General features: G+C 64.4%; 1 protein-coding gene across 2 annotated transcripts, besides 6 other annotated features; it reads right to left on the bottom strand.

Moving 5' to 3' along the window:
• Positions 55 to 810: an enhancer, noted in NCBI's record as "H3K27ac-H3K4me1 hESC enhancer chr16:633914-634669 (GRCh37/hg19 assembly coordinates)". NCBI's record gives its function as "activates a minimal SCP1, AML or CMV promoter by ChIP-STARR-seq in naive H9 embryonic stem cells {active_cell/tissue: H9 hESC(naive)}" and the evidence as "EXISTENCE:reporter gene assay evidence [ECO:0000049][PMID:30033119]".
• Positions 615 to 14,756, bottom strand: PIGQ (phosphatidylinositol glycan anchor biosynthesis class Q). 2 transcript variants are annotated; one of them, NM_004204.5, is made up of 11 exons: positions 14,628 to 14,756; positions 9,961 to 10,658; positions 8,754 to 8,885; positions 8,470 to 8,590; positions 6,219 to 6,345; positions 5,786 to 5,939; positions 5,544 to 5,655; positions 4,461 to 4,541; positions 3,752 to 3,866; positions 2,415 to 2,476; positions 615 to 1,841 (listed from the first exon to the last, which is right to left on the bottom strand). In NM_004204.5, the coding sequence occupies exons 2-11, from the start codon at positions 10,647 to 10,649 to the stop codon at positions 1,689 to 1,691; spliced, it is 1,746 nt and encodes a 581-aa protein (NP_004195.2). In that variant the 5' UTR covers positions 10,650 to 10,658; positions 14,628 to 14,756; the 3' UTR covers positions 615 to 1,688. The 2 variants fall into 2 exon arrangements, with proteins under 2 accessions (NP_004195.2, NP_683721.1); NM_148920.4 differs by lacking the exon at positions 2,415 to 2,476.
• Positions 811 to 1,567: an enhancer, noted in NCBI's record as "H3K27ac-H3K4me1 hESC enhancer chr16:633157-633913 (GRCh37/hg19 assembly coordinates)". NCBI's record gives its function as "activates a minimal SCP1, AML or CMV promoter by ChIP-STARR-seq in primed H9 embryonic stem cells {active_cell/tissue: H9 hESC(primed)}" and the evidence as "EXISTENCE:reporter gene assay evidence [ECO:0000049][PMID:30033119]".
• Positions 5,347 to 5,396: a silencer, noted in NCBI's record as "silent region_6921". NCBI's record gives its function as "represses an Ori minimal core promoter by ATAC-STARR-seq in GM12878 lymphoblastoid cells {active_cell/tissue: GM12878}" and the evidence as "EXISTENCE:reporter gene assay evidence [ECO:0000049][PMID:35858748]".
• Positions 12,915 to 13,809: an enhancer, noted in NCBI's record as "H3K27ac-H3K4me1 hESC enhancer chr16:620915-621809 (GRCh37/hg19 assembly coordinates)". NCBI's record gives its function as "activates a minimal SCP1, AML or CMV promoter by ChIP-STARR-seq in naive H9 embryonic stem cells {active_cell/tissue: H9 hESC(naive)}" and the evidence as "EXISTENCE:reporter gene assay evidence [ECO:0000049][PMID:30033119]".
• Positions 14,440 to 14,659: a silencer, noted in NCBI's record as "silent region_6920". NCBI's record gives its function as "represses an Ori minimal core promoter by ATAC-STARR-seq in GM12878 lymphoblastoid cells {active_cell/tissue: GM12878}" and the evidence as "EXISTENCE:reporter gene assay evidence [ECO:0000049][PMID:35858748]".
• Positions 14,730 to 14,889: a silencer, noted in NCBI's record as "silent region_6919". NCBI's record gives its function as "represses an Ori minimal core promoter by ATAC-STARR-seq in GM12878 lymphoblastoid cells {active_cell/tissue: GM12878}" and the evidence as "EXISTENCE:reporter gene assay evidence [ECO:0000049][PMID:35858748]".

Genomic DNA, 14,963 nt, shown 5'->3' with positions numbered 1-14,963 from the left:
ACTGGAGGGTGAGTGGGGGAGAGTACAGATGGGAGGGGTGGTGGGCCAGGTGGGCAGCTGGGGGGAGGCAGGGGACACAGGTAGGGGGTTGGTGGGCCCTGAGTGCCTCTGGTTGCCTGGAAGTCCAGGTTGGATGGAGGCCTGTACACTTCGGGCTGGGAACGGGCTGTGGGGCCCGCCAGCTGGGCCCCCAGCACTGCAGGCGACAGAGACCATTCTTAGCAGCTGTGGCAGTCGCAGGCTGTACTGGGCCAGGACCCACGAGGGGCCCACCCCACATGGAGTCCACAGATTCAGAGCAGGAGCTGCTCGCCCCACCCCTGGAGGCCTACACCCCTGCACCATCTATGTCGAGGCAAGGCCACGACCCCAGGGTGGGCGGCCCCCAGGGTGGGCGGCCCGGGTTCACCTGCCTACACCAAAGTCCTCAAGGGCCCAGGGCCTGTGAGCCCGTCCCATCAGCCGTCGTCAGGGCCTCCAGCAGGAGGCCGGTGTAGACTCTGCAGGGCAGACCCACGTGAGGCAGCCCAAGTCCCTCGAGTAGCGTCCACACACCCCCCCCCCAGAGCTTCCCTGGACCCGCGCTGCACATGGACCCGGGACCGAGCCTGCGCTCCAGACACGGGGCAGGTTTTATTGTCACAGCAGCTGACGGCTTCCCCGGTGCTGGGTTGCCAGGGAGTCCCAGGCAGTCCTGGTGCTGCTGAGATGGGCGCTGCCTCCTCCCACCCACAGCGCGTCATCCCCTCACCAGCCGGCACCTGCAGGCTCCCCTCCTGAAGCGGACTCGGGCTCACAGGGAACACCCGCACCCAGACCGTGCCGTCTGGCAGGCACTTTCGGCCTCAGTGCCACGGCCCCCTCCCCAGGCCACTCACACTCCTGGGGGGCCACAGAGGTGTCTGCACAGCAGGGCTTCCTCCTTCCCTGGGAGGCCCATGAAGGGAGACAGATTTGGCCGCAGGACCTGCTGCTACGGGGCACCGTGGACGAATAGGTACGGCTGGGTCAGTGGGCGGGCCCTTGACACTGAGGCTGCTCCCGCCCCCACAGCAGCCTGGCGATGCTCACAGCCTGCTGATGGTTTCTTCACAAAGCGACCTCTCCAGGGAACATCCGCAAATAAACCCCGTGTGGTTCAGGGAGTGAGGGCCCGGGCCCGCTGGGGACGGGGGTCAGCGACTGCTTCAATCCCCCAGATGCAGGGTGCTGTTCGGCTGAGGGAGCTAGAGGGTGCCTGGGACTGGGGGGTTCATCCTGGCAAGGTCCCTCCACCCCCACAGCCAGGGCAGAGCCACTGGGGAGCCCCCAGGGAGACCAGCCCTCCACCTGGGGCTGCTGTGGTGGACGGACCCTCTGGACCTGGGTACACAGGGTGGGCATGGGGCAGTGCTCTGGACACCTGGGGTTGCTGTGCTCGCCACCATGGTGACCGCAGCAGGTGGGAAGCGGGTCCCAAGGCAGGCAGTGCCAGTGATGGAGTGCGGCCAGCCTGGCTGGCCACCCCCACATCTGCTCACTCCCAATGACCTCCAAGCCCAAGGTGTGATAGCAGGGCCTGCCGTGTTCAGGAGCACACAGCAGCGTCCACAAAGCACAGGACATGCGCCAGCTGAGCTGGTGCCACCCTGGCAGAGCAGATGGCTGGCTGTGGCCGTGTGGTGGTGCCAGGCGAGCCAGCAGTTCCCTCAGTCCTGCTTGTCCCCTCTCTGCCTCCAGGGGTAGATGAGCTCCCCAAGGAACAGCTTGCGGCACAGGGCGCCCCAGGAGTGCTTGGGGTGGCAGCCACAGCTGGGGAGGCGGTAGGTGTGCACCACGCGGCTGTAGGGCAGTGGGTTTATCTGGAAGGACAAGGGCAGCGGTCAGTGGGGTGGTCTGAGCTCCAACCCCGTCTGCAGAGAGAGGGTGGGGGCGGGCAGTTGTGAGGCAGGGCCAGTGCTGTCTCAGACATTCCCTTGCCTGTGGGAGAAGCCAGTCCCAGTTCCCAAGGAGGCAAGTGAGCCTGCAGCCAGAAGGGAGCGCTGGGGGGAGGCAGAAGCTGCATCTCCCCTCGGGGCTGCCCAACTCTGAGGGGCCGTGCCACAGGGACGCACACCCCACCCCAGGACTCACTCAGTCGGTTCTGTTCCACCCAGAACTTGAGCCCTGTGGGGCCCAGGGCAGCCCCAGCCAGCCAAGGGCGCCTCCGACACAGGGCAGAATGGGCCCCATCCACAGGACCACACCAGTGTCCTCAGGCCCTGGGGGTAAGGGGGAGGGGGTCCCGCGTGGGCCTTCCCCCTCAGCTCCACTGGGCCCTCCCTGTACCTCATCGCAGGCTGGCGTGGTGCCACCCAGACACTACACCCAGCTGACCCCACCGTCCCAGAACAGGGGCAGCAGCGTAGGGGCGTCCTGGCCACAAGGGGCCTCACCTGCATCAGGAGGCGGAGGGGCCTGCCGGCCTCGTGCCGGAGGACACGGAACTTCACGCCAGCTGCAAGGATAGCAAGCGGCTGACGAGGGGACGCGTGGGGGCTGGCCCCACACATGAGCAGAGGCTGCAGGTACCTTCCTCTCTGAGGGGCACCCGGGTGCTGCTGGCCGTGGCCACCCACGAAGCTCTCCCCGCCCCCTCCGTCGCCCAACTCCTGGAGCTGGCTGCCAGGCCGGCATCAAAGCCTCCTGCAGCCAGGCACGGTGGCTCACGCCTGTAATCCCAGCATTTTGGGAGGTGGGCGGATCATGAGGTCAGGAGTTCAAGACCAGCCTGGCCAACATGGTGAAACCCCATACGTACTAAAAATACAAAAATTAGCCGGGTGTGATGGCGTGTGCCTGTAATCTCAGCTACTTGGGAGGCTGAGGCAGGAGAATCGCTTCAACCAGGGAGGCGAAGGTTGCAGTGAGCTGAGATCACACCATTGCACTCCAGCCTGGGCAAAAAGAGCAAGACTCCATCTCAAAAAAAAAAAAAAAAAAAAGCCGGGCACGGTGGCTCGTGCCTGTAATCCCAGCACTTTGGGAGGCTGAGGTGGGAGGATCACGAGGTCAGGAGTTCGAGACCAGCGTGGCCAAAATGGTGAAACCCCCATCTCTACTAAAATACAAAAAATTAGCTGGGCGTGGTGGCACACACCTGTAATCCTAGCTACTCGGGAGGCTGAGGCAGGAGAATCGCTTGAACCCAGGAGGCAGAGATTACAGTGAGCCGAGATTGCGCCATTGCACTCCAGCCTGGGCGACAAAGTGAGACTCCGTCTCAAAAAAAAAAAAGCCTCCTGCAGACTCCACTGAAAGAAGCCAGGTGTCCGGCAAGCAGGGAAGAGCCCCAGTGAGGGACGGGCGCAGGCTGTGCTGTTGAGTGGACGGGGTTTTCCGGCACAGCGGACGGGGCACTTACTGGATGGTGGCCGCCCTGCTGGCTCCTAGTGCCTCTGACTTTGCCGCGCTTGGCCCCTGGCCTGCAGTTCAGACTCCCAAGCCCAGAAAATCCCAAGGCAGAAGAACAAAGGCCTGTGGCCTCAGGTCTCCAGGGTTCTGAACCTGCGCGGCAGGTGAGTCTCTGAGTCTCTCTCCACCTCCCTGGAGGCAGCTGGTCCTGCAGACCTCTGGGACTAGGAGGCCCTGTCCTCCCTGCCCGCTTGCGCATGCATACCACGGCTTCCAGGCTGGAGGCACAGTGGCCCATGCTGTCCTTGCTTCTGCAGGGCCCACAGGTGTGGTTCCCCTCCACCTACCCAGGGCCAGCTGCCCAATACGCAGCACTTACCCGCCAGCCTGTAGGGCCGGCAGAGCCGAAGACCCAGTGAGTACAGCGGCAGGGAGTTGATGAGGTCCACGAGCAGATGGATCAGGCCCTGCACGGCGACCACCAGGAGCCGGAGCTGTGGCAGAGGAGCATTTAGGACCGGCCCGGCCAGACGCGCCTGGGGGCAGAGCAGTCCGACCCCATCCTGGGCCACGATGAAGGGGGCCCAGAGGCTGCAGGGTCCTGGGGAGAGCAGGGACCCCACCCTGAGCAGGGCACGGAGTCTGCCATTGGGCCTTGCTCTGGAGCAAAGCTGGAGGCGGAGCACCCGGCCCTCTCACCAGGTCAGAGGTGCCTCCCCACAGCCTCACATGCAGAGGGGATCGAGGCCTGGGAATCAAGCAGGTGCTGGAGGTGGTTCTGCTCACCTCCCACTGTCTGCCCCAGTGCCAGGCACCAGGGGAGGCCTCTTGCGTGACCCCACCTGCCGTGGGGTCCTTCCACCACGCACCCAGCTGCGTGCTCCAGGGCAGTGAGGGTGTCTTACTGGCCAGGATAGGGCCTCGCCCACTCCAGAGCGCAGCACTCACTGCCCAGAGGGTCCTGAAAGGCCACCCACGTGGCCTGCAGCAGGAGACAGCCCGCCCCACAGCTGACTGCTCCCAGGCAGCGCTGGCAGAAGCCACACAGAGCACTGCAGCCAGGCCCAGCCTGTGGGTGCTCAGCTCACCAGGGTGAACACCAGGTAGTACAGGGCTGTGGTAGGCAGGAGGAAGAGCAGGATGGTGAAGAGCAGAGTCCCGATGAACAGCTGTAGGGAGGGGCCAGCACACCGGGCATCAGCAGGACCCCGCGCCCAGGGACGGCCCAGCACTGTGCCCTCCCCCATCCCGGAGCTGCAGTCGGGACCTTGCGGCTTCCTGAGGGAACTCGGGATGGCCTGCTCAGAAGCAGTCCCAGTAGCAGGAGGGCTGTCCACCCACACCCCACGGACTAGGGGACTCGCAGGGAGACAGGTGGGGGCCAGACCACCCAAGACGGTGCGTGGCCACACAGTCACCAAGAACATGCTCTGCATGGCAGCATCCAGCGGCTGCGGCAAGTGTGAGCAGCAGACGGGCCCGGGCAACTCTAGTCTCCGAGCCCGGGCACCTCTAGTCTCCGGGCCCGGGGCACCTCAAGTCTCCGGGCCCGGGGCACCTCTAGTCTCCGGGCCCGGGGCACCTCTAGTCTCCGGGCCCGGGGCACCTCAAGTCTCCGGGCCCGGGGCACCTCTAGTCTCCGGGCCCGGGGCACCTCAAGTCTCCGGGCCCGGGGCACCTCTAGTCTCCGGGCCCGGGGCACCTCTAGTCTCCGGGCCCGGGGCACCTCTAGTCTCCGGGCCCGGGGCACCTCTAGTCTCCGGGCCCGGGGCACCTCAAGTCTCCGGGCCCGGGGCACCTCTAGTCTCCGGGCCCGGGGCACCTCTAGTCTCCGGGCCCGGGGCACCTCTAGTCTCCGGGCCCGGGGCACCTCTAGTCTCCGGGCCCGGGGCATCTCTAGTCTCTGGGCCCGGGGCACCTCTAGGGCCTGTGCCTGCACCACCTTCGGGGCTGTGTGTCTGTCTCTTCTCTGTGGCCCAGGGAAGCTCTGCGCTGCTTCAGAGCCCCACGTGCAGCCCACACCGCAGACTTATCTATTCCCAGGGCCTGTGCGCGGCCTCAGCTGCAGGACGGGAGCAGGCTGCCCCCTTGTGGTGCCCAAGCACCGCGCTGGCCCAGCGGGCACAGGCCGGAGGCAGTCAGCCCCTCCAGCCACGAACCCTGCCCCATACCTGGTCCAGGTCATAGGAACAGGAGTCCACGCGCTGGCGCAGAACGTTCCACTTCTTCCCCCGGAACAGACGCCACAGTGAGGACAGGCCATGGATCTTCAGGCAGTACAGCCTACAGGACGCAGTGCTGTCGGGCCCGGCCCCGCCCCGCCCCGCCCCGCCCCCGCCCCACTCGAACGCCCGCCCAGCCGGAGCCTCTGCACCTCCCAGGGGGCGGTGGGGAGGGGGAAGCCCACGCCCACCTGGCTCCATAGACGTAAAAGCAGTAGATGTGGAAGGTGAGGAGGGCGATAATGTCCGAGAGGAGGGACAGGGCCACCGTCAGGCCCAGGCAGGCCGAGAGGCCCACGTGCCAAAGGATGTGCTCCACGAAGGGGGACATGAGGTGGATGTAGCCTGGCAGGGTGGGGTAGGCCCTCAGGAGGCGCTCAGACCCCAGCCCTCGGCCCAGCACAACCCTCACACACACAGGACATGAGGTGCGTGTAGCCTGGCAGGGTGGGGTCAGCCCTCGGGAGGTGCCCAGGCCCCAGCCCTCAGCTGAGCACAGCAGGCCTCACACACACAGGACGCTGGGGAGCAGAGTTGGGGGCACAGGGGGCGGGGTCTGGCTGGGTCCCTACCCTCTTCAGCAAGCTCTGGGGTCCCTGGGGCCCCCGCCTGCCCTGCACTCACTGATCCACAGGTGGATGTGGTAGAGGAAGAAGCGGCCCAGCACCTGGTCCAGTGCACGGTTCATCTTGAGCCCGGCGGGAGCACCCATCAGCCACTGCAGCAGATGCTGGAGCTCCTCGGCCACGTGCTGCAGGGACACAGGGGCCACGCTGGGGCGGGGGCAGCCAGGCTCAGCACCTGCATCTCCCCAGGCTCTTTCGTGATGGGCTCCCACCTTGGCCAGCCTTCCCTCCTCCAGGGTCTACCGCGTCCTAGCGTGGACAGCACACGGGCTCCCCTTCACAGATGGCTCCGGGATTGGGGTCTGAGGAGGCTGGTCTGGAGGCCTCTCTCTGCAGGCCTGGGTGACATGGCCGGGCCCACAGGGCATCCGCGTGGCCCCCTGCCTGCACCCACCTCTACCATCTTCCTCCCCTCTCACTACCTCGGCCACAGGACCCACTGGAGCCCTCGGCCCCAAACACGTGGACGCACTGAGGCCTGGCAGACCCTGATTCGGCTCCAGCCCTGCAGGGAAGCCCACAGCTGACACAGTCCCCTCCAGAGGCCCCACCCCATCGCAGAGGCTGGGGGCTGCCCGGGATGACCACAGGTGAGCGAGACAGTGCCAAGCCCATCAGGGCCACAGCGACCAGGCAGGAGGACAGGTCCCCAGAGGGAGGATGGCGTCAAGTTGAGGGCACAGGCACCCCCAAGAGCAAACAGGGAAGCAGGGTCTTGGCCGCCCAGGAAGAAACTCAGCATCCAGAGGCTGTGCCCCAGCGGGCAGACCCCAAGGGAGCCTCAGCCTCCCCACTAAGGAGACAGTGAGTGACACCTTGGCCCCCACTTGCCCATTGCGCAGGCCCCTTCCAAGCCTGGGCCAAGGCCTCAGCCACAGCAGGACTGGCAAGAAGGAGAAAAGAACACTTTTTTTTTTTTTTTTTTCTGAGACGGAGTCTTGTTTTGTCGCCCAGGCTGGAGTGCAGTGGTGAGATCTCGGCTCACTGCAAGCTCTGCCTCCCGGGTTCACGCCATTCTCTTGCCTCAGCCTCCCAATTAGCTGGGACTACAGGTGCCCACCACCATACCTGGCTAATTTTTTGTATTTTTAGTAGAGACGGGATTTCACTGTGTTAGCCAGGATGGTCTCGATCTCCTGACCTCATGATCCGCCCGCCTTGGCCTCCCAAAGTGCTGGGATTACAGGCATGAGCCACCACCCCCGGCTGAGAAAAGAACATTCTTTATAAATAGAGCTTATTTAATATTTAAAGGATAAGAGCTTGGCAGCAGGAAGAGACTTTCATTTTTAAATTAAATATTTATATTTCTGAGCACTTTTGCAAAAGGGAGGTCTAGGACAAAGTAGGCCGGTGGCAGGTGCGGACGACCACAGGCAAAGCTGCCGAGCCCCTTCCCCAGCCCCGCCCCTCCTTCCTTCTGGGCTGGAGCTCCCTGCACCCCCACAGCCACACAGACGTGCCTGATGCTGCCCCCAGAGGCCTGGCCTGGCCACAAGCAGGCCCAGTGCACACCTGCAGCCCACACAAGACCCACCCAGTCAGGCCTCAAGGAGGCCTCCACAGAGGCCCGAGGGTGGGCCAAAGAGTCAGGTACCACCCCCAGCAGGAAGACAAGCTCCTAATGGAAGAGACGGGGCTTTGGTGCTGAGGGAGGAAGACAGAGAAGCTGAAGGCCCAGAGGCAGCATGGAAATGCACTAGATCTGCAGAGGAGGGGGCTGCACCCGGCTGGAAACGGGGCACAGACCATGCAGGGAAGGTGGGAGATGGGAGACAAGCTGTGCCTCTGGCTCTCAGCACAGGAGTTACAGAATCAGCACAGGGGCAGGGCAGGAAGTCCCAGCTGGGCTGCACATGGGCCTCCCTGGACAGGAAAGGTTTCATGACCCTGGCTCTGCAGAGGGCCCCAGAGAGCCAGGAGGGCAACGCTGATCTCAGGGACCACAAGGGAGATACCAGGACGCTGGGCCCACAGGGAGAGGCGGGCTCCCCAGAGCCTCAGCCCGGCTGGCTCCTGCACACAGCCCCTTCAGAAGGAAAGGGGGGTGTACCTGCGAGGCCTGCCCTGCCCAGGCCCCAGCGCCCCTGGAGTTCCTGCTTCTGGTTCAGGGGAGGGCCGTGTCTCCAGAGCATGGAGAAGGTAGAACTGGCTTTGTGGGGCGGTGGCTCTGGCCCGGGAAGGCTCTGCTGCCCAGGAGGGGTCCCCACGCCCACCCGGGACACCGGGCTCCACCCCAGTCCACTCACGTCAGCCACAGGAACGAGGGCGTCGGCCAGATGCCCGATGCGGCTTCTCCCGTGGAGCCAGGACAGCAGCATGAGGCCCAGGGCCACGTCCAGCAGCACAGAGGCCACCGTGTTGGCCTTCCTGGAAGGGAGGTCCGGCCCGGCCGGCATGAGGGTGGCCAGCACAGCCTGGGGCCGCAGGAGGAGGCCTGCCTGGCCGGAGGGGTCAGCGTGGTGCAGAGGGGGATGGAGAAGGGGCCAGAGGGCACGCACCCAGCCCTGCAGAGACCAGGGCAGGCCCACACCTCATCAGCTGGGCAGGGTTCTCCGCCTTCCGTGTACTGAAGATTAGCGTGAGGTGCTCCAGCCGGTGCCGGAGCTGTTCGCACGTGGAGAGTTTGCTCCCGAGGAAGGACAGGGGCCAGAGCTTGAACACTCTGCGTGGGAGTGGAGAGGAGTGATGTGTCCCTCTCCAGATCCTCCTCCCACCGTCCCCCACTGTGCAGGGGACCACAAACACCCAGGCCACACTCCTGAGCTCAGCAGGACAGGGGGCAGGTGGGAGGGGCCCTCGGTGGCCCAGGTGGTGGTAGGCAGCGCTCAACGCGCCCACCTCACAGTGCACGTGACTAACACGGAGCCTGGCCTCCTCGCAGGTGCTGACCCCGGGCCACCTGGTCACCACATGCTCCCAGAGCCGGTGCCAAGAAGCGCCTGCCAGCCAGCAGCAACTCCCACGGGCCCAGGGCCTCGCCCCGCCGACAGGGCCCAGAAAGCTGCCCGGGGTCTCCTGGGCTGGCCTAGCTTCTCACCCCAGGCTTCCAGAGTATGCACCCCCGGGTCTAAGGCAGGGGGCAACTGCAGGTGACCCCTAGCTGCTCCCCATGGGGCACCTCCGCCAGGCAGATGAGGTCCCCTGTGGAAGGGGGCCCTCTGTTCTCAGCCACAGCTCGGGGCTACCCCCGTGCCCCTCAGGGCCCTTGGGCTTCAACTGACCCTTGGCCAGCAGCACCTGTGATTGTGGAGAGAAGCAGGGCCTGTAGACCACTCCCCCAGGCACACGGGGCCAGCAAGTGGATGACACCCCCACAGCCCATGAGCGCTGCAGTGTCCAGAGGCCTGCTGGGGGCACAGGCAGGGCTACAGGGAGGCCAGCGGGCCTGTGTGCCCTCAGGAGCACCCCCAGGCAGCAGTAGTCATGTCTGTGCTCACCTTCTGATTTCTCTTTCAGGGACCTAAGCCACTGAGGTTCACCCTCTACACCTTCTGGGAGGGCCCCTGGCAATCCCTGAGGCTGCCCAGAGACCTGGCTCTACCCCAGGGGTGAGGGACACCCTCTGAGAGGCGAGGGTTGGGAGAGCAGGATGGGGCCAAAGCCCGGGCTGCAGGAGTGGGAGGGGGCCCGGGCCCAGGAAGAGCGCATCTGGGCCTCTGTGCCCACTGCAGACAAAGGGATGGGCCAGCACTCATGGGACCCCACTCTTTGCCACCTGCCTGTCCCGGGACACCTACCGGCAGGCACTGACAGCTGAGACCAGCGACAGCAGGCTGGCCAACAGCAGGCAAATGGGTCCCGAGGCTCGCCTGGCCAGCTCCGCGAGGATGCTGGCCTCCACGCCCTCCGACTGCCAGTGGCTCAGCCGCACGGGGCCCTCATCAAAGCGGTCACTGCGGAAGAGCACCTCACTGCGTGCTACCGTGTCGAAGACGGCAGCCAGGCCCCCCGTGCTGGCAGTGGTGGCTCCAGCCTGGCGGTCGGGCAGGACGGTGGGCAGGTGTAGCTGTGACAGCAACACCTGGCGCTGGTCATAGAAGATGAGCATGACCTGGTCCTCACCAGGGGCACCGGGGGCAGTGGGCGCTTGCCGGTGGGTGGCCTCGCAGCTCCAGAACGTGCCGCCTCTCTCCCGGCACAGCCGCAGCCAGGGCTCATGGGGGAAGACAGCACCCAGGCTCTCCAGGAAGCGGCCCAGGCTCTCCTCGGGCTCCTGCCGGCAGTGGCACCAGGTGCCCAGCACGGCCACGCCCACCTGGCTGGCCTGCCGCACCTGGGCCAGGAGCTGCTTGACCTGGATGGGGATGAAGGGAAAGTGCAGGACCGCCAGGACCACGGCGCTGCTCTGCTCCGGCACCCACCGTCCCACCAGCAGCCCGCTGTCCGTCGAGACGCAGCACGTGGGGAAGAAGGCCTTGAGCACCATGCCGGGAGGCTGGAAGAGAAGAGGAGAGGCTCGGCTCAGAGCTGCTGCTGCCCCCCCACCGTGGGCTGCGGGATGTTGCACAGACGGCCTGACAGGTGCAGCCACAGGGCCCCAGGTCGGGGCACCTCAGCTTCAAGTTCGGTGGTGGACGCCGTAGGGCTCCTTGGCTGCCGCCTCGCGTGGGCCATGCTTCTCCAAGGGGCAGCCAGAGTGCTGGCCCCAAGTCCACCCCAGGCCCAGCTCAGCCCCACCCGCACGAGGCAGGACGCACATGCAGCCACCAGGCCTGCCCTCCCATTTCCAGGCCGGCCCAGGGCACGGCCTCCTCGGCACCACCTGACGCGGCTGTGGGGCCGAACCGAACTCCAGGCTTCTTAGTTTTAAGAAACCTGATTAGAGAGGTGTGCTTAAAGGTGTAGCACGAGGAGAACTGTACAATCTCATTAGCAAGGTCACGCCAATTGAAACCTTGACAAACCATGATTCACGTATTAAGCAAGAATAAAGATGAAAATGTAAAATGATGTGCTGCTGGGCTGTGGAAACTACCTCGTGCGCACGGCGGGCAGCCCCCCAGAAGGTCCCTGCCTCCCACAAGCCCCTCCCTGGGGGCAGGAAGGACCTGCCTCGTTGCTCAGGGCACACAGGGCTTCGGCCTCCACTCTGACCCCCGCCCACGGTGGCACCCGGCAGTGCCTGGCCCTCCCTGACATCCCCACAGCCACCCCAGGGCAGGGCTCCCTCAGGGAGCATTTTCTCTCCAGGATATATTTCTCCAACGACATGGGTGCCTAGAAACGGGGAGAGAGAGGCTTACAGGTCCCGGAGGTGTGGAGAAACTGCATCCTGCACTCTCAGGCTGAGGGACACCAGCCTTCCAAGGTGGCTGTTGAGTAGGAAGCCACCTGAGCTACCGCGGTTCCCAGGCCCTGGGCCTCTCCTCCCCCTTTCTCACAGGCCCCTGCGGAGCCATGCAGCCAGCTGGGGCTCCTTCTCCACTGATGCCTTCCCTGGCGGGGCCCCACAGGGCAGGAGGACTCCCTAGCGGTGGGGGCACTACTGGCCGGCTGGCTGGGCCGCTCGCCTTCCTCAGACACAGAAAGCCCCATCTCGCCTGCACGAAGAGTGGAGCGGCCACCCTGAGCAGAGACCCCCCACGCTGGAGCCACACTCGAGGGAGGGACATAGCTTGGCCTGAGCCTGGGTCTGGAGGTCCCAGCGCCCACCACGCCCTTAGGGACGAGGGAACAGAGCGGGACGCCTGGAGGTCGCAGTGCCCACCACATCCTTAGGGACGAGGGAACAGAGCGGGACGCCTGGAGGTCCCAGTGCCCACCACATCCTTAGGGACGAGGGAACAGAGCGGGACGCCTGGAGGTCCCAGTGCCCACCACGCCCTTAGGGACGAGGGAACAGAGTGGGATGCCTGGAGGTCTCAGAGCCCACCACGCCCTTAGGGATGAGGGAACAGACCAGGATGCCTGGAGGTCTCAGAGCCCACCACATCCTTAGGGACGAGGGAACAGAGCAGGATGCACACGTCGGGGTGGTGTGACCTGTAAGTCCTCTCCCGAAGCTTGGAGGGGCTCTGGAAGAGGCCTCACACGGAAATGCCTGGGGCTTAAGAGGCCCCTGGTGCAGCTGCTCTCCTCCCCTGCAGGCAGCCCGCACTGGGGCTGGAGGATCCAGTCACTCAAGGCGGTGGGTTCTAGCTGAAAAGGGACCTTCTGGGTCAGGCTGCAGAACTCCTCAAATGCCCATTTCCTCAGTGGTCAGAGAGGGCAGGCGGCGGGTGGATGCCTGGAGGCCAGCTGACGTGAGGCACCAAGGACATCGTGAGAGGGACAAAGTGATTCTGCCTGCAAGGGGCCCAGCGTGTCTGGCTGTGTGACCACCATAGGGGACCACCCAGTACAGCCCACCTTTCACACCAGCTCAGCCCAGGGACCCATCACGCCCTGCTGGGGAAGAGCTTTCACAGGGACTAAGGAAAACTGCCCACAGATATCGTCGGAAAAGAAACACAATGGGTCTAACAGTAAACAGATGTTCTAGGGGGAGCTGGTTCTGCGGTGGGCTCACTTTGGGTAAATTCACCGAGCTACGTGCTCACGATCTGTGCGCTTTCTTTGTGTGTATTCTTTGTGCTTCATCTACAAAGTTTACCTTAAAAAAAAAAAGTGCCTTGTGTCTACCGAAGGAGATGGGAGGGCAGAAGCTACTCTTCTCTGTCGAGTAGTGAGAGAAAACTCAACGTACTGTGGGGCAAACGCCCATCACACTCCCACCTCAGCCTCTGGGACGGTCGGCGGCACAAAGAAGCCTGCACTAGCAGCTGCTGGGATCACACAGCCAGAGGAAGATGAAAGAGAAGCGATCGATAGCAGAGGAGGTATGGGACGGGAGAAAGCAACGTGAGCATCTTTAAAGACTGAGGAAACACACACACACACACACACACACGGGCGCCAGGCTAGCCACACACACACACACACACACACACGGGCACCAGGCTAGCCAGACACACACACACACAGGCGCCAGGCTAGCCAGACACACACACACACACACACACACACACACACAGGCTAACCAGACACACACAGGCTAGCCAGACACAAACACACACACACACACACAGGCTAACCAGACACACACAGGCTAGCCAGACACACACACACGGGCACCAGGCTAGCCACGGGTCCCAGGCTAGCCAGACACACACACACACACGGGCACCAGGCTAGCCATGGTTGCCAGGCTAGCCAGACACACACACACACACGGGCGCCAGGCTAGCCACACACACACACACAGGCTAGCCAGACACACACACACACACACAGGCTAACCAGACACACACAGGCTAGCCAGACACACACACACACACACACGGGCGCCAGGCTAGCCACGGGTGCCAGGCTAGCCAGACACACACACACACACACGGGCACCAGGCTAGCCAGACACACACACACACACACACACACACACACACACACACACACACACACACACACACACACACACACACACGGGCGCCAGGCTAGCCAGAAGAGCTTCCTCTGCTAAGAATGAGCCCGAGTGCTCTTGAGAAGCCATTCCCAGACCAGGCAGGTAGGGAGGTCGACCATATAAAGTAGTAAGACTAAGACTTCCCTCTCCTCCCCGTGAATGAGGGAATGGGGGCACCCCAGCCCAGTTAGGACGGGCCAGGGCCATCTCTGGCTGAGCCGCCCCTCCCTGCCACCGCTCCACAAGAGCTCTGGAGAATTTGCGTTTCCCAGCGCCTTGTTTGAAAAATAAACACCAACCTGGCGCGGTGGCTCACGCCTGTAATCCCAGCACTTTGGGAGGCCGAGGCGGGCGGATCACTTGAGGTCAGGAGCTTAAGACCAGCCTCGATGGGGGTGAAACCAAGTCTCTACTAAAAATACAGAAATTAGCCGGGCGTGGTGGTGGGCACCTGTAATCCCAGCTACTGGGGAGGCTGAGGCAGGAGAATCGCTGGAACCCGGGAGGCAGCGGTTGCAGTGACCCGAGATCGCGCCATTGCACTCCAGCCTGGGCGACAGAGCGAGACTCCCTCTCAAAATAAATAAATAATGAAAAACAAACACGAGTTCAGCCTGGGCAACATGGTGAGACCCCGTCTCAAAACAAACAAACAAACAAACTTGCTTGCCTTCCTCAAGCAGGGCCTTCCCCTCTCATTTGGGAAGAGCCTACGATTCCGTTTTTTGCCCTTTCCTGCAAACCGGGACAACTGCGAAGGGCCCACAGCCAGGCCCGGGCCGCCGACCGCCCTTGCACAGGGTCCACAGGGGCCCAGGTCGGCGCGGGCCCGGGGGCGGCCCCACTTCTGGGAGGAGAAAGCAGCGGCGCCGCGGGCGGGAGTGCGGAGCCCCCAGCCCAGGCCCGGAGCCGCAGGGGCGCTGCCCGAGGTCCCGCCGCGCGCCGCCCACCCCCCCTGCTCACCGGGTGCTTCCGGGGCCGCGCGCTCGGGCGGCGGGGTCCGGATGGGGTTGGGGACCCCGATGGGCGGGCCCGGGCAGACGACGGCGCTCGCTGCCTCCAGCCCCGCCGCGGGACCCGAGCCCCACTTCCGCCGGCTCCGCGCGTTGCCGCGCGACGGTCCGGCCCCCAAAGGCGCCCGGGCTGCCCGCCCGCCCGCCCGACCCGAGCGTTCCGCGGCGCAGCGTGCCCGCCCAGTCCCCAGGCCCGGACCTCCCGAGCCTGCCTCCGGGCCGCCAGCCCCGCGTCAGCTCGGTTTCCTCACCTGAGAAACTGACTGGACCTGGCCTTCGTGGAACC

This window comes from Homo sapiens, chromosome 16 (assembly GCF_000001405.40).
Source record: "Homo sapiens chromosome 16, GRCh38.p14 Primary Assembly".
Lineage (NCBI taxonomy): Eukaryota > Metazoa > Chordata > Mammalia > Primates > Hominidae > Homo > Homo sapiens.
Note: the sequence above shows the minus strand (reverse complement) of the source record. Positions and strands in the feature narration are given on the sequence as shown.